This window comes from Homo sapiens, chromosome 2 (assembly GCF_000001405.40).
Source record: "Homo sapiens chromosome 2, GRCh38.p14 Primary Assembly".
Taxonomy (NCBI): Eukaryota; Metazoa; Chordata; class Mammalia; order Primates; family Hominidae; genus Homo; species Homo sapiens.
Genome location: NC_000002.12, coordinates 230,392,727 through 230,411,253, shown reverse-complemented (window position 1 = coordinate 230,411,253; position 18,527 = coordinate 230,392,727). Strand labels below are relative to the sequence as shown.

At 44.9% G+C, this 18,527-nt stretch overlaps 1 protein-coding gene and 1 long non-coding RNA gene across 21 annotated transcripts in view; one reads left to right on the top strand and one right to left on the bottom strand.

Annotated features, from left to right (window-relative positions):
• Window positions 7,522-18,527, bottom strand: part of SP140L (SP140 nuclear body protein like) — a 76,540-nt gene continuing 65,534 nt past the window's right edge. For 6 of the 18 annotated variants that reach the window (XM_047446412.1, NM_001352892.2, XM_006712856.2 and 3 more), the window contains 7 exons: window positions 17,793-17,840; window positions 14,456-14,497; window positions 11,012-11,127; window positions 10,191-10,272; window positions 9,811-9,888; window positions 9,447-9,590; window positions 7,522-8,456 (listed from right to left, as the gene is read on the bottom strand). In XM_047446412.1, the coding sequence (XP_047302368.1) occupies window positions 8,358-8,456; window positions 9,447-9,590; window positions 9,811-9,888; window positions 10,191-10,272; window positions 11,012-11,127; window positions 14,456-14,497; window positions 17,793-17,840 (609 nt within the window). In that variant the 3' untranslated portion in view covers window positions 7,522-8,357. The other 12 variants (XM_047446413.1, NM_138402.6, NM_001352893.2 and 9 more) reach the window with 7 other exon arrangements.
• LOC105373925 (uncharacterized) lies at window positions 10,218-17,105 on the top strand. Of its 3 annotated transcripts, none has more exons than XR_001739924.2 (4): window positions 10,218-10,317; window positions 11,028-11,134; window positions 13,339-13,514; window positions 16,949-17,022. It is a non-coding gene; the product is annotated as an uncharacterized LOC105373925 (long non-coding RNA). The 3 variants fall into 3 exon arrangements; XR_001739922.2 differs by having other exon boundaries at window positions 10,231-10,317; window positions 13,339-13,509; window positions 16,949-17,105; XR_001739921.2 differs by lacking the exon at window positions 16,949-17,022 and having other exon boundaries at window positions 10,231-10,317; window positions 13,339-13,598.

Genomic DNA, 18,527 nt, shown 5'->3' with positions numbered 1-18,527 from the left:
TGGGTCCCCGTTAGACTTGGGGCTGTCACCTGACATATGGAACCAGGCAGCTCCATGTTGGATGCCTCCACAAGCATGGAACTAAGGCTGCGGGGTCAGACCTACCCTCAGAAAGGAGGAGGAATGTCTTTCGAGCTGTGGTCGGCCTGGGGTCTCCTTGTGAGCCTCAGGGTGCCAAGGAGGCAGGGCTGAACACCACCAGGAGCGGAGGGAGCCTGGTGGCTGGGGCTGGAGCCAGGAAAGGCTTGAATGAACAATGCAGCCTTTTACCAAGTCTGCACTCCTAATGTTTCTGCAAACCTCCATATGTCTATTACTTTTACCATGGTGAGCTGGAATGGCCCGCAGACTGTCCTAGATCTTAGGACTGCCAGGTGATGCATGTGTGGCGAGGGAAGGAGATACCTGGTGGCCCCTCCAGATGGTCTCCACCAGCACCTGCTGGGCAGCAGCTTCTGCTTCTTTGGGCTTGCAAGTGGGTGCTTCTATGAAGAGGAGGGTCCCTGGCAGGTTCCTCAGTATTGCTGAACAGAATAAAGGAAGCGCAGGGTTGGAAAGTGTAGCTTCATGAAGATTTAGTGGTTACGAGACAGGTTATGAGACAGGAGGTACAGTTCCAGCAAAGGCCAATGCCCATCTGCCAACCATTGTCTGGCGGAGATGTGCAGGGAAGGGGTGGAGTCTGCCTTTCCACAGGTGCTCCTCCTGGAAATGTGGGTGGGAGACAGCTGACCAGAGCACTGGGGGGCTCTCCCAGGGCACCTTTGCCTAGCAAGGGCTGAGAAGACCCTGTTTTGAGGATGAGGTGGGTCTTGTTAGACTGTCAGTCATAACATCTGCTCTAGGGGAAATCCAAAATAAAGTCTAATGAGCTCTTCCCAGGGCCAAGGATGACTCCAGAACTGGTGGGACAGCCCTGTGCATTTCTCCTAACTGGTGCACCTGTTTCTCATGGGTACAAATGCTGTGCTCAGGGAACAGGTTGACATCCTATGGGGCCCCAGCCCACTAACACAGGATGACCGCCTGGTCCGGCCAGGTCATGAAGTGGCCCTGGGAACCAGGTTTTGCTGGATATCCTGTGTCTTACCTTGGGATAAGGCTCTCAGGGGCAGGTGGGCTATAAAACTGCCAGGTAGAATAGTTTTTTGGGGAGCAGATGGCTTCCAGGGTGTTCTGGTCTGATGTTTTTCTGGGCAACATACTGGCACAGTTTTGCTGGTTTCCAAAACAATGGCATTGAAGTTGGAAACTCATTCATCTCATCTGCTACTGATCCATTTTCTTGGTGTATAAGGGAATAAAGTGTTCCCTGACGTAGATCCATTTCTGCAGCTATTAGCCACTTGGGAATGGCCAGTGGACTCAGTCTAGTAGGTGACACTCTCCTTTCCAGAGAGAATTGGAGACCCCTCTGCCCATACCATCTATGGTCTATCACACCCTCTCTCATGAATAATTCTAAAGGGTGTTCAGCCCATTGAATGTGGAGCTATGGAAGTGAGGGGCTCACATTTATCCCAGAGCCTGGATTCCAGGCTGAGCTGTGATGACAATAATGATAGTCTTGAGCTGTGCTTGTAAGAATCCAGAATTGGAAATTAGGTGCTTCCCCACTGGGGGGTGCATGAGGAAGTGGGGCCGGGATTTACCATTTATCATTCAGACAATGGCACAATGCAGGAACCCAGGAGTTATTTCTTGTATTTCCTGAATAAGCACAAAACAAAAAGCACCAGCCAGCTCCTGTACAGCACTCTGGGCCACATGTACTGACACAGACGTTACAAAAACATCTAAGAGCAGACCTATCCACTGGCATGCAGAGTGCACCAGTCATGGGCACAATCCCATTCTGTGAGACTCAGAGGAGTGAAAACAGACACCAGAGAGAGCCAGAAGTGGTGGCTACATCATTATATGGCCAAGACTCAAGGTCCTGAGATCTCAAGGCTGAGATCCTACATCCTCCTCCCCATCCAGACTCAGGCAACTGTGGATGAACCCTCTGGAGGATGAGGTGATCAGGGGATGGAAAGTGGTCCTACCCACCTTCCCAGCAGCTCCAGCAGGACACAGTTAAAGATGTAATCAAGTGTCTCAGCAGAGGAGTCACCCCCTTCCCTGAACACACCATACCCTAGTTTCCAGCTTAACATTCCTGGGGCCACACTACACGACCATGGAGTGTGCCGTCCTTGTATGAACCAGTGTAGACTCTTTCAGTCCCACACACCACGGGGTTCAGGGGAAAATGTGAACAAATATTTCAGGAGAGAAATATCTCGGTGTTGATATAATGTAGTAAGGGGTAGTTTCATGTCAGATGAACAGTGACCAACTCAGTCTTTGCCTCCGCAGCACAGGACAATGGCGAAACAGTTACCTGCTCCTGTGTACCCAAGGAACTTGGCATCCCCCAGCAATTCCACCTCTCTGACTGGCCTGGAATTGCCCCTATTCCTCCATTAGACAGCAGTGGTCTAGGCTGTGAGTGTCCCAGGTGGGTTTCCTCAGTCAGCTGTGATTTCCTTGGCTGTCCAGCCTCCTCCATCCCCCTTGCCTAACAGTCCCTGGTTCCTTTGGGTGAAGGAGCTCTCCCTTCTGGGTGTAGGAGTGAGGGGCTGTTAATCACAATGCTGGCCATTGAGCAGGCCAGGCCAGCCAGATGCTGTTTGGGGGGAGTTGAGCTTTTGAGTGAAGTATTGTGAGAGGTTAAAAAAATCAACAACAACATTTAGTAAAATCTTAACATCCTTAGGGAATGGCTGTGTCATTCCTGTTGCATGATTGCCTGGAAATGCTCTGATTCCTGCCCTTTTCCAGGGCCATTTGCCAACTCTGTAACCCTGCCTTCCGGCCCTTTCTGTGAGGCACTGTGATATCATCATCGAAGTAACTTTTGTCTACCCTAGATAAATTGGGTCTCTCTCTTTTTTATTTTTTTAACAGCTTTATTGAGATACAATTAACATACCATACGATTTACCCATTTAAATTGTACAATTCAAATTTATGTAGTATGTTCATAGGGCTTTTTAACATCACCACAATCAATTTCAGAACATTTTTGTCACCATAAAAAGAAACCACATACCCATTTCCCCTCAACCTCCCAGCATTAGGCAACCACCAATCAATCTACTTTCTGTCTCTATGGATTTACCTATTCTAAACATTTCATATAAATGGAATAATAAATTATGTGGTCTTTTGTGATTGGATTCTTTTCTTTTTTTTTCTAAATTTAATTTAATTTTAAGCTCTGGGATACATGTGCAGGACGTGCAGGTTTGTTACACAGGTAAATGTGTGCCATGGTGGTTTGCACCACCTATCAACCCATCACCAAGATATGAAGCCCTGCATGCATTAGCTATTTATCCTGATCCTCTCTCTTCCCCTGCCCCCAACAACAGTCCCCAGTGTGTTGTTCCCCTCCCTATGTCCATGTGTTCTCGTTGTTCAGCTCCCACTTACAAGTGAGAACATATGGTACTTGATTTTCTGTTCCTGCATTAGTTTGCTAAGGATAATGGCTTCGAGCTCCATCCATGCCCCTGCAAAGGACATGATCTAGTTTCTTTTTATGGCTGTATAGTATTCCATGGTGTATATGTACCACATTTTCTTTATCCAGTCTATCACTGATGTGCATTTGGGTTGATTGAATGTTTTTGCTATTGTGAATAGTGCTGCAATGAATACACACATGCATGTATCTTTATCATAGAATGATTTCTATTCTTTTGGGTATATATTGGGTTTTTCTTGACAGCAAAGAGCCTGAATTGATACAAAGGTGTTTATGTTAATCTTTTAAGTTTGCTTGTTTATTACATATGTATTGCATGGAGGGCCAGCACTTTCTAAGTGCATAATAAATATTAACTCTTTAATCCTCACAATAATCCAGTGAGCTATTTACTACTAGTATCTCCTTTTTACAGATGAAACAGTACAGGGGAAGGATGAGTAGGTTGCCCAAGGACACACCGTCAGCAAGTGGAGAAGTGCAGGAACTGGGCTTCCACTTACAGAGGCTGTGCTACTGAATGCTAGTCTGTGCTGCCCCTCAGTACAAATTACTATGCTTACCAGACCAAAAATAATCAAAGAGCCAACTGTCATCCAGTTTTGAGGATAAATGAAAGGTAAGGCACAGATGATGTAGAGCTGTATTTACTGATGTGACAATGTCCATCTTATATTGTTAAGTGAAAAACATTGATTAGCACATTTTTATTTATGAAGATGGTATACCCACTGCCTCCCCACTCCCTGCCTCCCAAACACACAACCACATTACAAAGCCTAGAATCACTTTCATCAGAATGTCAACCACGGTGATTCTCCTCACTTGGAGAGGACCACCAAGCTCTGGGTTTCTTAGTGGCAGGAGGTATGAAGTGCAACAGCTTGGAGCTTTGGAGGGGATGCTCTGACACGTTCCAGACCATTGAACCCCTGAAAGCTTACCTATATGGCATATCTCTGTATCTTTGTAACGTTTTTCTCCCACCATCTGCAGTGTTTATGACTTACTAAGTCATTCAGAATAGTCAACATTTCTCGCTTATCAGGCTCATGAACATACTGTCATCAATACAGTTGACCAATGTAATGTATTGCAGAGTGTCCAGAAAGCCTATATTGTAACACAGAGCAGGATTCACCTTGCCCTGGAGCAAGACTGTAAAGATATACTCTTGTCCAATCCTTGAGAATGTGAATTTCCTCTCAACCTACATCCTGCCGGATCCTTTAAAAGTGGCATTTCCGTATTAATAGTTGCATATCACTTGCTAAGGCTGTGCTAACCCGTTATAATAAAGATACCACGTTTGACACAGCAACTGTAATAGGGGCTACTCCTTGGTTAAGTTTTAGGAGCCATTTAGCAGCATGAACCACCAGGAGATACCAGAGGGCAGACTGCTGAATTAAAATGGAGGTGTAACTGGGGTAACAACCCCTGCCTCCTCCATGTCTTTGTAGGTGGCACTAATCTCTATCATTCCCCAAGAATGTGATATTGCTTTTAACTTACTTGTTTTCACCATGAAACTTCAGTTTCAGAGGCTTCTGCTTGGCCTTCCCTAAAACAGTCATTGTTATTTCATAGGTTAGGAAACCAGAGGTTAAGGAACCAGGTCAGCCAATTGCTATATTTTATGATGTATGTATGAATGTATATCCTGATTATACATTCAGGAAATGGGGAAATGATTGCTGGGTGGCCTGTGGATCCAGAGGGCCCATTGTGAGATGGACATTACCTCACCTCCACGTACTCTACTCTAACAGGGGCTACGAAAGGGCTTTGAGTCCTCAGGGATTAGCATCAACTGTGATATTGTACTCAACATCCCTTGAAAGATCTGTGTATTTTCCTTTCCCCGGCATGTGAGTAACTCAAAAAATTTGGCCATAGAGCCCTCCCGTGAAAACTTGAGGGAATCAGTGATGCGCACACTTACAAGGTTCTTCCTTATGAGAAACTGCCCTCATTTCCATCAGTGAGTTCTGGATTCCACTGAGAACTGGCTGAGGTTTGGAAGCTGGGCAAGGGGTCTAAGACTTTACCTTTAGATAGCTGACCTCAGCCTTCTGCTCATCTATTTTCAATCTCTTTTGATTATATGTCTAAAGCAATATGTGTCTTGCCTAGAGGAACAGCATGTCCTAAGAGCCATCTTCATGGACACCTACAGGTCAGGCCTCCCAGTTGTCACTCTAACGTTGATGCCCCTTACGGAAATTACTTTATCTTGTCCTCACAGTTAAATGCTGCCACTTGGCCCCTGTTATTCTGGAACTCTATCATTTTACTCACTACTGGGGGATCCAGTTCTATAAAACATCCCTAGCATTATTCCAGCCTGCAGGGGACAGCCACCATTGAGCTTCTTAAGGATGTGCTGCCCCCTCAACAGTGCATTCCTTCTCACCTTAGTTAGTGTCTGAGACACATTAGTAGTGTCCCCTTTGGAGGAACTCAGTCACCTGATGGATGGATTCTCCAGTTGTAGAGTGCAGAGTCATTCTAGCACACCAACTTCTCTATCCTTGGGACCCACTTTTCCAGACTCTGCCACAGTAGTTCTGGTATCTCTGCTTCCACTTGATTTAATGTGTACCATGGCTTATACTTAGTCTCTAGGAGCCACCCAGGAGTATATCAGAATCATCACCTTTGGCCCAAGCCAGGCTAGTTAAACTCTGTGGTAGAGAAGCTTGCCCCTTTGCCAATAATCGTCACTTATCTGGTTTCACATTTCACCCTTCCTGGACCAGGATCCACTCCCAGACACAATCTCCTTGCTCCTGCTGATGCACGCTGGCCAGTCCTACAGCTCCTTCGGAGGATAAATGCTCTCTTCATTTGCTGCCCTCCCCATGATTGTTCACTTTCATTGTCCTGAGCGGTCTCTATACAGTCTTCATTCTAGAAAAATCGGGAGTTGGGTGGGGGTGGTAGCTCTCTCTTCCAACAAGGGGCAGAAAGACTTTTCTGCAAACCCAGTAGGTTCAGGGGGCATCTGGAGTTCAAAGTTCTCATGTACATCTACCTAGATAGCCCCATGCTGAGTTTGAAGGCCTTGACTTTGGCATAAGAGACCATCCTGAGCTTAGAATTCAGTGTTCTCTGAAGTTCTGCGATTCATAAAATCAGGTCTGTACCAGACCTTCCTTGCTGTCTGCCTTCCAGCTCCAGGTATGAGGGTCTCTTCTCTTTAGGTTGGTAATGAATAGATCTAAGCCTGTCATTTACTCTTTTCAAGACATTAATGGCACTTAGTAATACCCACCAAAACCCATATTTCTTATAGTTACTTTTCCTCACTTCTTAAATGCCAGACAATTGTACCAGCTATTTTAGTACATAGCTGTACTAAAATAGCTTGACCTGCAGCTCATCCAATTTACTACAGGTGAAAATTTGGGCAACTGCTCAGTGATAGCACTTCTGGGACTATCCATATTCCACCCAGCATCACTGGGCTAGACAGTGATCCAACTCCAGAATCCTGTCCTCAGAGCTCGCTTCCTGGGGCCATTACTTTAGGTTGCATTCCCCAGAAGCACATTCTGGGATGAAGTCCATTAAGCAAGAGATTGATGGTGAGGGTTTGCTCAGAAGGGAGTGGGGGAAGCTCATCATGTGGGCAAAAGCTAAGCCACGATGTGGCCACAGCTGGAGACTAGCTCCAGCCTGATACCTGGGAGCACAGAGTAGCCACACACCACACCCTTGGTCCTGCTTTGAGGCAAAGGGGCCGGCCTCAGGCCACGGGGCGTCACTTCCAGGTGAAGCTGATTCCATTTAACGAAGGGTAATACTCTGGGGACTGCTGGCATCAGCAGCCACCACTCAGCAGCTGGGGATGAAAAGACCTGGTCAGAAGAGGAGATGGTGCCAGGATGCCAACCGCTTTGCAGGGGAGGGAAAAATGGCTTCCCTCTACCCTGCTAGGTTCTTTGGCTGAGCTACGAATGAATTAAATTGACATAAGTAGATTGACAGGAGGAAAAAAAATTTAATAATATATGTTTGCACAGGAGTTCCACGAAATATGAGACTCCAAGAAGGGTCAGATGATTGACACTCATACACCATCGTGAGCTATCGAAAAGAACGGCAGTTTGGGAGTTCTGCAGGGAGTTGACCACAGAAGTGGGAGAGTGAAGGGAAGAAGTGTGTCGTGAATAAAGCTTGGCTGGTTTTCAGATAAAAGGTCTTGCGAGTGGCCAGGTGTGGTGGCTCACTCCTGTCACGTCCCAGCACTTTGGGAGGCCAAGGCGGGCGGCTCATGAGGTCAGGAGTTCGAGACCAGCCTGGCCAACATAGTGAAACCCCGTCTCTACTAAAAATGCAAAAAATTAGCTGGGCATGGTGGCAGGCACTGTAATCCCAGCTACTTGGGAGGCTGAGACAGGAGAATCACTTGAATCCGGGAGGCAGAGGTTGCAGTGAGCTGAGATCGCGCCATTGCATTCCAATCCCGGGTGACTGTGTGAGACTCCATCTCAAAAAAAAAACGGAGGAAAAAGGTCTTGTGAGTAATAAATGTTGTCTGGAGCAGACCTCAGGAGAAGAGGTGAGAGTCTGTCTGTGCTGGTATCACCTCCAATCTCCTTCCCTGTGATCTCAGTTCCTCTTCCCTGGTTGATGAGATTCTTGGGGATGGGATTCATGATGATCAAATTTCTTTTGAGGATTTGTTTTTGGGCAGATGAGGGAGGCTCAGAGAAAAGCCTCTCCCTGCATGTGCTATTTCCCAAGTGCTCTCAGTTTGAAGTCAGTGGCAACCAGTAGCATATTTCCTGAAGGCCTTCAGCATCCACTAAACCAGTCAACTGTTCCCATTTGTTTCCTGAATAGCAAACACTTCCTTGAAATCCTTCTCAAATTCAGCCTCCAGTCTAAGTCCCATTTGGCCAAAATCCTTATACTGGAAAAAAGTAATAAAGACAAAAACGATGTTCCTTATCATTAGTGTCATTAGATACCTTTCAACTGAGAATGATCAGGACTCTTGTCTTTAAAAAATAAAAACTGTAAGTTGACAATTTATAATGGTATGTATTTTGGAGTACAAAGCAGTGTTGTGATTTATGACTGCTATGTGGAATAATTAAATCAAACTAATTAACATATTCATCATCTCAAAGAGCCATCATTTTTTGTGGTGAGAACATTTGATATTTACTCTCTTAACAATGTTGAAGTGTGAAATACACTATTATTAAGTAGGACTCTTATCTTAAACACCCTAAGTAACATTAACCAGATTAAACTTGAAAACTCATGCAGCTAAGAGTAACTTCCGTTTCTCACCAGCATGATCCTTTCTTATTAACAGGGCAGAAAAGTGAAATCATTTCCACAGTTGGGATTATTACTTTTTTGCCTTTGGTTGCTTATTTCAGTGGGTTAGAAAAGCAATCTAGGTTCTTTCAACAATTCAGATAGTGGAAGGGTATAAGGTAAGATCACTGATCTGTTCCTTTCTCTGTCACTTCTACTCCTTGCTGGCAATCCTTGTTGGGATATGGTCTATTCACATGCAAAGAATCTGGAGTTTGGGATTTCTGGGATTGGGAGCAGATAAGAAGCACAATACCACTTTAAGATGAAATTCTCTTCTCTTTATATGCTGCAGCAGGCAGGACTCAATTGCTCTCTCTGAGCTCCTGTCTCCTCTGGGGCAGGTGGGGGAGGAGCTCTCAGAGACCTGGGGTTCTGGTTGCAGGGACACCTTTTGATTCAATGTTTCTTTGCTAAGAAGAGCTTAAGTTCTGAACTGAAACCAATCAATCACTTCCAGAACCCTTGCTCGTGCAAGCTTATTACAGGATGAGGGAAACTAAATTTTTCTAGGCACCAGAAAATGAGGGGAAGGATGGAAAGAAATGAAATGGAAGCAGGAAGAGCCACCTACCTTGTAAGAGGCCCTGTGGTTCTGGAAGATGAGGCGCATGTCTTGTACAAACCCCTCCACTTGGGGGTAACCGTGCTCATTCAGCCTTTTCTTGATTTTATCCAACCACATGGGCTCCTTCAGGCCTTGACACGCCTCTCTAATCTGGTGACAAATATACCAATGGAAAAGCTACCAGCATAGTTCAGTGTCTACCTTCTGTGGATTCCCATAAAATCCAGCAGAAATACAACAAGGTGAAGGCAACTAATGACAGCGTGTGCTCTTGCCCCGTGGGATTAAGATCACAAATCTCACGAGGGCCCATTTCAGGGTCAGGTAATGTCATGGCAGCCTGTAATCATGGGTTGCTGTTGTTACTTACATAATAATAGTATGGAATCTTGGCAAAAAAGGAGCTCTCAGAACAGCAATAGACTTTCAAGAGGAGGAACTCACATTTCTGCAAAAGAAAGAGGCCGTAAATGAAAAGCAGCTTGGAGAGAATGAGCCCACATGCATGAGACACAGCACACGACTCACACCCTTCTTCCTCAAGTTTCTCTAACATGTGTGGCTCTTGGAAACAGACATGTCATGGCTGAGTTATTTTTTGTGCAAACAAGGTGTGGTGTTCTATCAGTGCCATTGAAGTGTGGCGCGGAAGAGCAGGCTCCTTTCAGTACATTCCCCTGCCCTTGCGCTTGTTCATGGTTCTCACGTGTGAGGGGAAAGGAGAAGGCTTGGGGTTTGCATCTGATTTACCAACTGTTCCTCAGGACACATCTGCCTCTCCAGGACCTCAGATTCCTGACAACACTGTTGGCTTCCCGGAGACTCCTTCATCCTGCAGAAGATGCAATTCCACGGGGTCCTGAGAGATTGGACATGGGTGAGCAGAGGGCAGGGAGCTTGGAAATGGCCACCGTTCCTGTGGCTACCACTGTCTTCCTTCAGGAATGGCTGATGGGCTCAGTCATGGGAGGGAGGGGAACACCTCCCAGAGTATCCAAGAACTGCACATGGGGTCTCCAGCCACTGGCCTTTCCCTCGCATCAGTGGTAGCAGCAGGAGGGAAGCCTCAGGAAGGTGGTGTCACCGTGAGTGGGGACTATCCTTTCCCTGTCTGAGCTGCTGGGAGCACAAGGAGTCCTGCCTGCCAGGCCTGTGTGTCAGAAACTGGGCTTTCAACTCCAGGGACGTCAGGCCTCCATCCGCCTAAGACCGTGCTTCCTGTCTTGTATGAATAAGCACAAAATATAAACAACTGGTGTTTTTTTTCCTCAACCCCCTGGGACAGGAGACCCTACTGCAAAACTTCAAGGAAAGGACAATACCAGTATGTAGGCAAAGGTCCCCAACACTGGCCTCAGCATATCAGAGGAGGTGTCCCTGAGAGCACAGAGAGCATTTACCTCCTGCTGCCAGCGTCTCCCACTGCTCTCTGGATCACACTGCTGGGTCCCAGTACCCGATGAACCTGCTCCTTCCCCATCTAGACACAAGCAGACATTCTGCTGGAGAGTGCGCATGGCAGGTGGAAGGTCCCTTAAAGGATGAAAGAGAGGTGCCTGCATGTCACTTACTTCTCACTTTCCACAGGTGGGATGTGGCAGTCCTCATGGAAGACTCTTGAACAAGTGTCGCAACAGAACAGCTCCCCTCCGTCCCGGCACACCTCACACTCATCCAAGTTTCTCATCTAGAAGGTAAAACAGTGTCCACGTCACTGGGAATCACAAGATTCAGGAAGGCCACCCCTCTGGGCATCTAGAACACACTGCTTATGTGTGAGCCTGTATAGACAGGCATATGCTTCTCCCTGGGATATGAAGGAAAAATATGGCATGGAGATTTCAGAACAAATCCTGGTCTGCAGTGAAGTTCAGGAGGAAGGGGTATATGTCAGAATAAAAACGTTTTCCTTATAAAACCAGAGATTATGACACAGAAAGCCTAGCAACAAAGCAAGAGGATGATCTTATAGGAATCTGAATAATTGTATTATGCTGCAGATAAAACCAGGTTTTGAAGTAAAGTGTTAAATCCATTTGTCTATACTACAAATCAACTCATGAAAGGGAGACCCAGAGAATTACATATGATGGAATAACCTTCTAAGATATCATCACATCCCATATTCTTGGCCATAAGTTCCCCATGAGTTGAAGACAGGGCCTAGTTAGGGGTTCCTAGGCTGTAGGTTTTGTGCCTAGAGGGCTGTGCACCTACCTTTGAGGGGGAAGGACCATGAGTACACATGACCAGGTGGGCCACAGGGAGCACAGAGCTCTTCGGCTCTGGGATCCTGGCAGAAGATCTCCCATGACTTAGCTAATTTGGATTGTAAGGTGCAAAGGTGTCATCTCTAATGACCAAGGACCATGGTAACAGTACCATACAGTGTTGAAGATGGAGACCCTCTCCTCATTTCCTGGGCCCATAAAAGAGCTGGTGCTTTGTTCTATAAAAGGAATGGTAAATCAATGAATTCTCCATTTCTCACAAGTCTCAATATGTGAGACCTTTAGCAAGATTTAATTTCATTTGGGGAAATTAAAATATGATAGTATTTGCATCCATGTGTTGTGGAACAAATCCCAGTCATTAAAAACCAACAGAATTTATAGAGCAAATATAGAGACCAATACATTATATGCTGTATTGTAGACAAATGCAAGTGTATTCATGACAAAGAACCGGTCTGTGACAGAGCCCTTTGCCGTTCAAGGGAAAAGTGCTGTAAGGACTAAAATTAGAGTTCAATATTACGTGCAGCCTGGACATCTGGTAACACTGGGAAGGCCTAGAATGGTCTATCTACAAGTCCTCCGCCGGCTCTGCTCCTGCAGATAAGGTTTCCTACCAACACTTCTGATCAAGAGGACCGCTTGCACCTTCTGCTTATTTTTGAATAGCTGATTTCATTTCCCTGCCAGCCATGGAATTATTCAAACAAGCCAATCACACTCTCCCTCTGGAAGCCGGGGACAGCCCACCCTCCACAGCCACTGGCTGTTTCCTCTGTTCCTGAGCGCAGCCCCCATGTGGCCCTATGTGGAGTGCCTACAGGGCTCTTTCTGCTGCTACTTCTACTTTTATATTTTGCCCAGCTCTCTAAATTCATTTCAGCTCTAGCTTAGGTGAAATCCTTCTCCCGTGATCTGGATTTTCAGGTTCCCCAGTGAGGATACACGTTCAGAGGTGGACTTTTTCCCTCTCACACTTTGAGAACTCACAGTTTTTTGGCTGTCTCACAGAGTTTGCAGTGGCAAGCCACTTCTTTCAAAGGGTCTGTGAATTCCTTGTTTTGCTGGAATGTTCCTGTGGTGGTTCTTGTAGCAAATGTTCACAATTGAGTCTCAACACGCTGTTCTGTCTGAGTTGGAGGTGGAAGTTAGTCCTGCCTCTTATCTGCCCTTTTTTTTCTCCAAACTTATATCTTTTCAAGAAGAGATTTGATTTCTCTGGTTCTTTAGTTGTTGGCCTGGCTGTACATTAGACTCATCTCAGGAGAGTATATAAAATGCTAATGTCCTGAACCCAACACCAGAGATTCTGAATCACTGGGTCAGGGTTGAGGCACAGGCACTGGTATTCTTCTTTAGGTGACAGAATAGGCAATTCTATGTATCAGCATCATCTGGGGACCTTGAAAAAATCCTAATGTTCAAGTCATACATAGTCCAGATTGATTAATTTAGAATTTCCCTAAAGTGGGATCCAGGCAACAATATTTTTTAAAGCTCTTCAGGTGACTCCAAGATGCAAGATAATTTGAGACTCAGCCTGAGCAAAGTCTGGTTATGGAAGCATGGGGATATTATAAATCAATGTTCTTATTGGCCTTGGAAAAATTATTAATAGGGGTGACCATACCTTTGCTGGATCTGTTTTCCTCTTTTTCCCACAGACATCTGGCTGTGGGCTGTGAGACATAAACCTCCATGTCAAGCTCATACAAAATCAGCCACGCAAACACTGACCTCCAGGGCTGTTTTAACCATTCGTGAGTCCCTGAGTTGGCCGGGCATCAAAATCAGTGTGGAAAAGACCTAAATCTGATTGGAGGACTGCTTTGGAGGTAAGGTGTGTATAAAACTATTTGAGCATCCCTCCTCTGCTAACTATTATGTGTCAGTGCTATTGCATGATATTCTATGTGAGTCCTGCCCCCTGGAGTTGTGCAAGAAGGTGACCTTGCCTAAAATTGGCATCTCACTGCAATGAAAAGGAGCAAACCAGAATTTCATTTAAAGAAAGAACTCATCCATGATTTCAGCAGAACCCAAAGCAGGCAGTCATATAGCAAGCAGAGAATGGATGGGGCCCAGGGGATCAGAAAGTTTGCATAGTACTGAGCACCAGATAAGCAGTTGAGTTAAAATGCCTCAGGATTTGCTAGGTCGTGATGGTTTCAGTCCTAACCAGCTCAGCACCCTAATGGCTTCCCTGAGACTGGTGATAGGGGCTCTGTAAAGGACCTCTTGTCCTGTATGTACTCCTTTACAGGACTAATGACAGGCTCCACACCTTAAACATAATAGCTTGGCCTGGTCTGTTCCTTCTGGCTGATGCTTAAGACCATCTTCGCTCCACCTGCACCTTGGAGTGCATTTTTGGGATTTTCCCTTTCATCCATACCCCTTACTTGAGAATGCTGTTATCCTCTCACATTTACTCCTTCCCCTTAATCACCAGGCCAGCCCTATCCATTACCACTTCAAGCTCTGTTTCAAGAGACCTCAGTGGTCTAGAGCTCAGCCTCCCATACTCACTACCCAAGGGAATAAGGAAGTAAGGATATTGGAGGGTTTCCACTGAAACAGATGGAAAGAGTGCTTTCACACTGCAAGACATCCAAGGCCCAAGCACATCTACCTGGCTTGGGTGATGCAACTGAATTCACACAGCCACATACTCCAACTGAGACTGAACATGCTTCAGGCAACAGCAGTCATGACACAGAACATATGCCTGGAGAAAGAAGTGGAATATTCTGGGGGTTGTAGTTCAGAATTTATACTTACACAAGGGTCAACTGAGCTATTGTTTTGAGACTTCAGTATTCTCTGTTGAAAAAACAGAAAGATTGATTTATGATATTGAATGCATTGTTTCCATCTATCACTTACTTAAATTTAAATAGTCATCTTTGAAGGGATTCAGGAACCAGTTGTAAAAAAATAATTGGGAGGAGATGAAGGCCAGTAGGCTGGGGTGGCTCCAGTGCTTTAATTTCCTATGTAAGCAAACTGAAACCTGATGTAAACAGTAAAATGAAACTAGAGAATTTACCAACTGGAATCCGTCATCTACCTCTAATTAGCATCTTTCCATGATAATCCATTAAATATAATTTCTCTGTCTTACTCCTGTGTTGGCCTCACCATCTGGGCTGCTACAGCATAGCTCTCTGAACCTCTTCTTGTTCTGAGTGCTGCCCAATTCATGAATTGCTCTTTGCTCCAATAAATGCTATTAAATTTATTTTGTCTAAAGTTTTATTTTTTTAAACAGTCTTCCCTTTACCTCATATCTGATTTTTTGGACCTATATATCTACTGAGGGAAGAAAAAGTGCCCAAGTACTACTGTTCAGCCCAATGCAAGTCCCATTCCCTGCAGGGAGTCTGGACCTAGTTTGCCCAGGCCAAGTCAGAGAAGCTCTACTTGTCCTCTTACTCCAAGGGGCCCTCAGGCATATTTCCTAAACTTGGCCTTTGTGTCATCCCACCCAGAGGAGTTGCAATAATAATCAGGCTGAGAATTTATCCCCCACAGCCTACAGGGACCACAGGGCCCAGAGTCCTGGAGGCCATGAAAGTGTCCCAGAGAAGAGCACTGCTTTCTGCAGCTCCCCTAGGGACACAGCCCTGGTGATAAAATGACTCCAAGGTCCTCTGTGCTGCAGCTCTTCTTCCTGAGAGTCTCCTGCTCTCCCTTCTATCCAAATCACAAGATGTCAGGTTGACTGTCTTTTAAGAGGTAACCCACTAGATTTATTTAGATTGCTTTTGGATATCCATTGCAGGAGTTGGCACCTTTCCCTTCTGGGATACAGGCAGCCTCAGCTTTTGTCTGTAGCCCAGGGCACAGGGCTATAAACAAGTGTGATCTAAAGCACAAGCACCTGAGAGGTGACCTTGTCACTGAGTGCGTCTCTGACTAGCCTAAATCTCCTACTCCACCCATTTGTAATTCATCCATGTTTACAATAAAATTGAAACAATTTTTTTTTCTTTTTTTTGAGACAGGGTTTCACTCTGTCACCCAGGCTAGAATGCCATGATAAAATCACAGCTCACTATAGCCTCGACCTCCCAGGCTTGAGTGATCCTCCCACCTCAGCCTCCTGAGTAGGTGGGACTACAGGTATGCACCACAATGCCTGGGTATTTTTCTATTTTTTTTTGGTAGAGATGATATCTCACGATGTGTCCAGGTTGGTCTCAAATTCCTGAGCTCAAGTCATCCTCCCATCTCAGCCTCTCAAAATGCTGGCATTATAGGCTCTAGTCACCATGCCTGGCTTGAAATGATTTTTGAGGTCAATCTTCTGTAATGCCATTGGAATTTAGTATATGCTTGATAAGTATATGTTCAATGGGTGAATAAATGAATATTGTTTCAAGAGTTCAAGACCAGCCTGTCCAACATGGCAAAACCCTGTCTCTACTAAAAATACAAATAATTAGCCAGGTGTGGTGACAGGCACCTGTAATCCCAGCCACTTGGGAGGCTGAGGCAGGAGAATTGCTTGAACCTGCGAGGCTGAGATTGCTCCACCGCACTCCAGTCTGAATGACAAGAGTGAAACTCCGTCTCAAAAAAAAAAATTACTGGAGTCTCTTAAGCAAGCATTAGCACACAACGATTATTCTGGGTGAGTGTATCAGATTGTTTTACAACACCGCAGCTACCACCAAAAGGTTTATGTGGCCCTTGTCATGAGCCTGAGCAGAGACATTATCATGTGGCACTGATAGTGACACTGAAGTTTCCAGAAGCCAAGTGGCTCTGCAAGGAAGAGAAGCTCTGAGAGGCACAGAGGACCCATGGAGTTCATAATGGATCCTGGATCTGCCACTCGGGGGACCTCTGTTCTCCCCATGAGGAGACATAACATATAGAGGCAACTGTAGCTTGTTGCTGCTAAGTGTTGCACCCCTGAATAGAGGGAGAGTCGGTTGGTTGGAAATTGCCAGCTCATTTGGGTCACCCAGGCTGAGTTACTCTTGGCACCTGGGGAAAGGTAGAGTTGCTGGTCTTTAGTGTACTCACTGAATAGGTGACATCATAGTTTCCCTTCGGGAAACCCAGTGGATGAAATGTCTCAGTGGCTGAGAATTCAAATCAGCCAGTATATCAGATAATGTAAAGGCCTGGATCTCAGGTTCCCAGTGGAATATGAAGCTTAGTGGCTAGCTATGTGTGAGCTGTTTTAGAAGTCTGTGAATGTCTTGAATGCATATTTCTACCTGAAGTGCATAAGGATGACATTTTTCTCTTTCCCCTCCTCAGGTTCTCATTCACACCCAGTCTTCGAAAAACCATCACCTTGTCCTGAATCTACACTGCACTTAACCTATTTGTTTGTTGCGTTCTTAAGTGAAGGAAAAATCACTTTCACAGATAAAAAGCAGGTCTGCACAGTCCCTCTGGTAGAACCAAAGAGGTGGCATCAACATAAAAGATTTTCCTGGTCAGCTCCTCCTGTAAAATACGTTTGCCTCTGGAGATCTTCCTCCCCAATGGCACCATCTTGACAAAGGTAAATAATTTCCCATTGAGAAAGAATTCTGTGTATCTGTGTGTACATTTTTTTGGAAGGTGAAAGAGGATGTGAAAGATCAGAAAAGAAATATTATTTTTATTACCTATTTCATGAAATGATATATGGTTTCATACATGTCTCAAGTGACTGTGAGGAGACGTTTGCTCTATCAATTTCACAAAAGTTAGAAAATAATAACATCAATGAAAAAAATCTGATTTTGAGTTGGAGATGATACTCTCACCTTATTATGAAATATTTTTATGTATTCCATGACCGTGTTGGATTTTCCAACTTTGACACTCTTACAACATCTGTATCTATTGCTGAAACACATTCAGGAGGTTTGTTTTGAGGGCTCCTCAGCATCTCCATCTGATACGGTTTAATCCAAAGAGGACCTAGCTTTATATACACAAAGTATTCAAAGTAGTAACTCTGAAAGTGTATATTAAAAAAATTTATATGTGGGAAGTGGAGAAGGTGAAAGCTTAATTATAGTTACCCAATTGGAGACTCCATAAAATAAGATGTTGTACATGTTAAATCTGTTGTGTGACAAGAATCTGTAGAAAATTATGTAATAATCACCTTTTTGTTCCTGTAATATATTCTTGGAGGATTAGGTAGAGATCCTTCCTGAAAGATAAAAAGACCAAGGTACATAGTCAGCCTGCGTTTCTGTTTTGTGAGTCTGGCATTTCCAACCTCTTCCCAAATACTTCTACCTGAGTGTTCCAATGCCAGCTCAAACCCAGTGTGTCTGAATGAGAAACCATCTCCCTGTCTTCACCTGTGCTTCTAGACTCCAATCAATAGAAGCCAGAAAATCATTTTCAGGACCATTTTCCCTTCTCTTGTGCTTCTTTCCTAAGTCCTAAGAGGTTTTCATTCATAATCTCATACCATCTATCACTTCTTTTCCAGTTGCACCAGTGCCACTCCAGCTGGAGTTCCTACACCAGAGCTATCCAAGCAGCACACACTTATTGCATGCTACTGGGTGTCAGTCACTCTGATCAATCTTGGGTACATGAAGATGGGAAAACCTAAAGGGGTCTGCAGACAAAAAGCACTCACAGAAGGATAAATATAAATAGTGAAAAAAGGGCATTAGTAGGGGCTCAGGAACCCTGGGAAGGGAGGACCCATGGCTATAGGTCAGTGAATATTTAAGGAAGAGGGTAACATTTGAGCTAAGCATTCTAGACTGAGTATAGGTTTGCTAGCAGGGGAGACAGTGAAGGCATTTCAAAGCCCCATTGCTGTCTAAAATACTGTTTTAAATGTCATTTCCAATCTCAGAAGATTTCACTGATTGTTGCT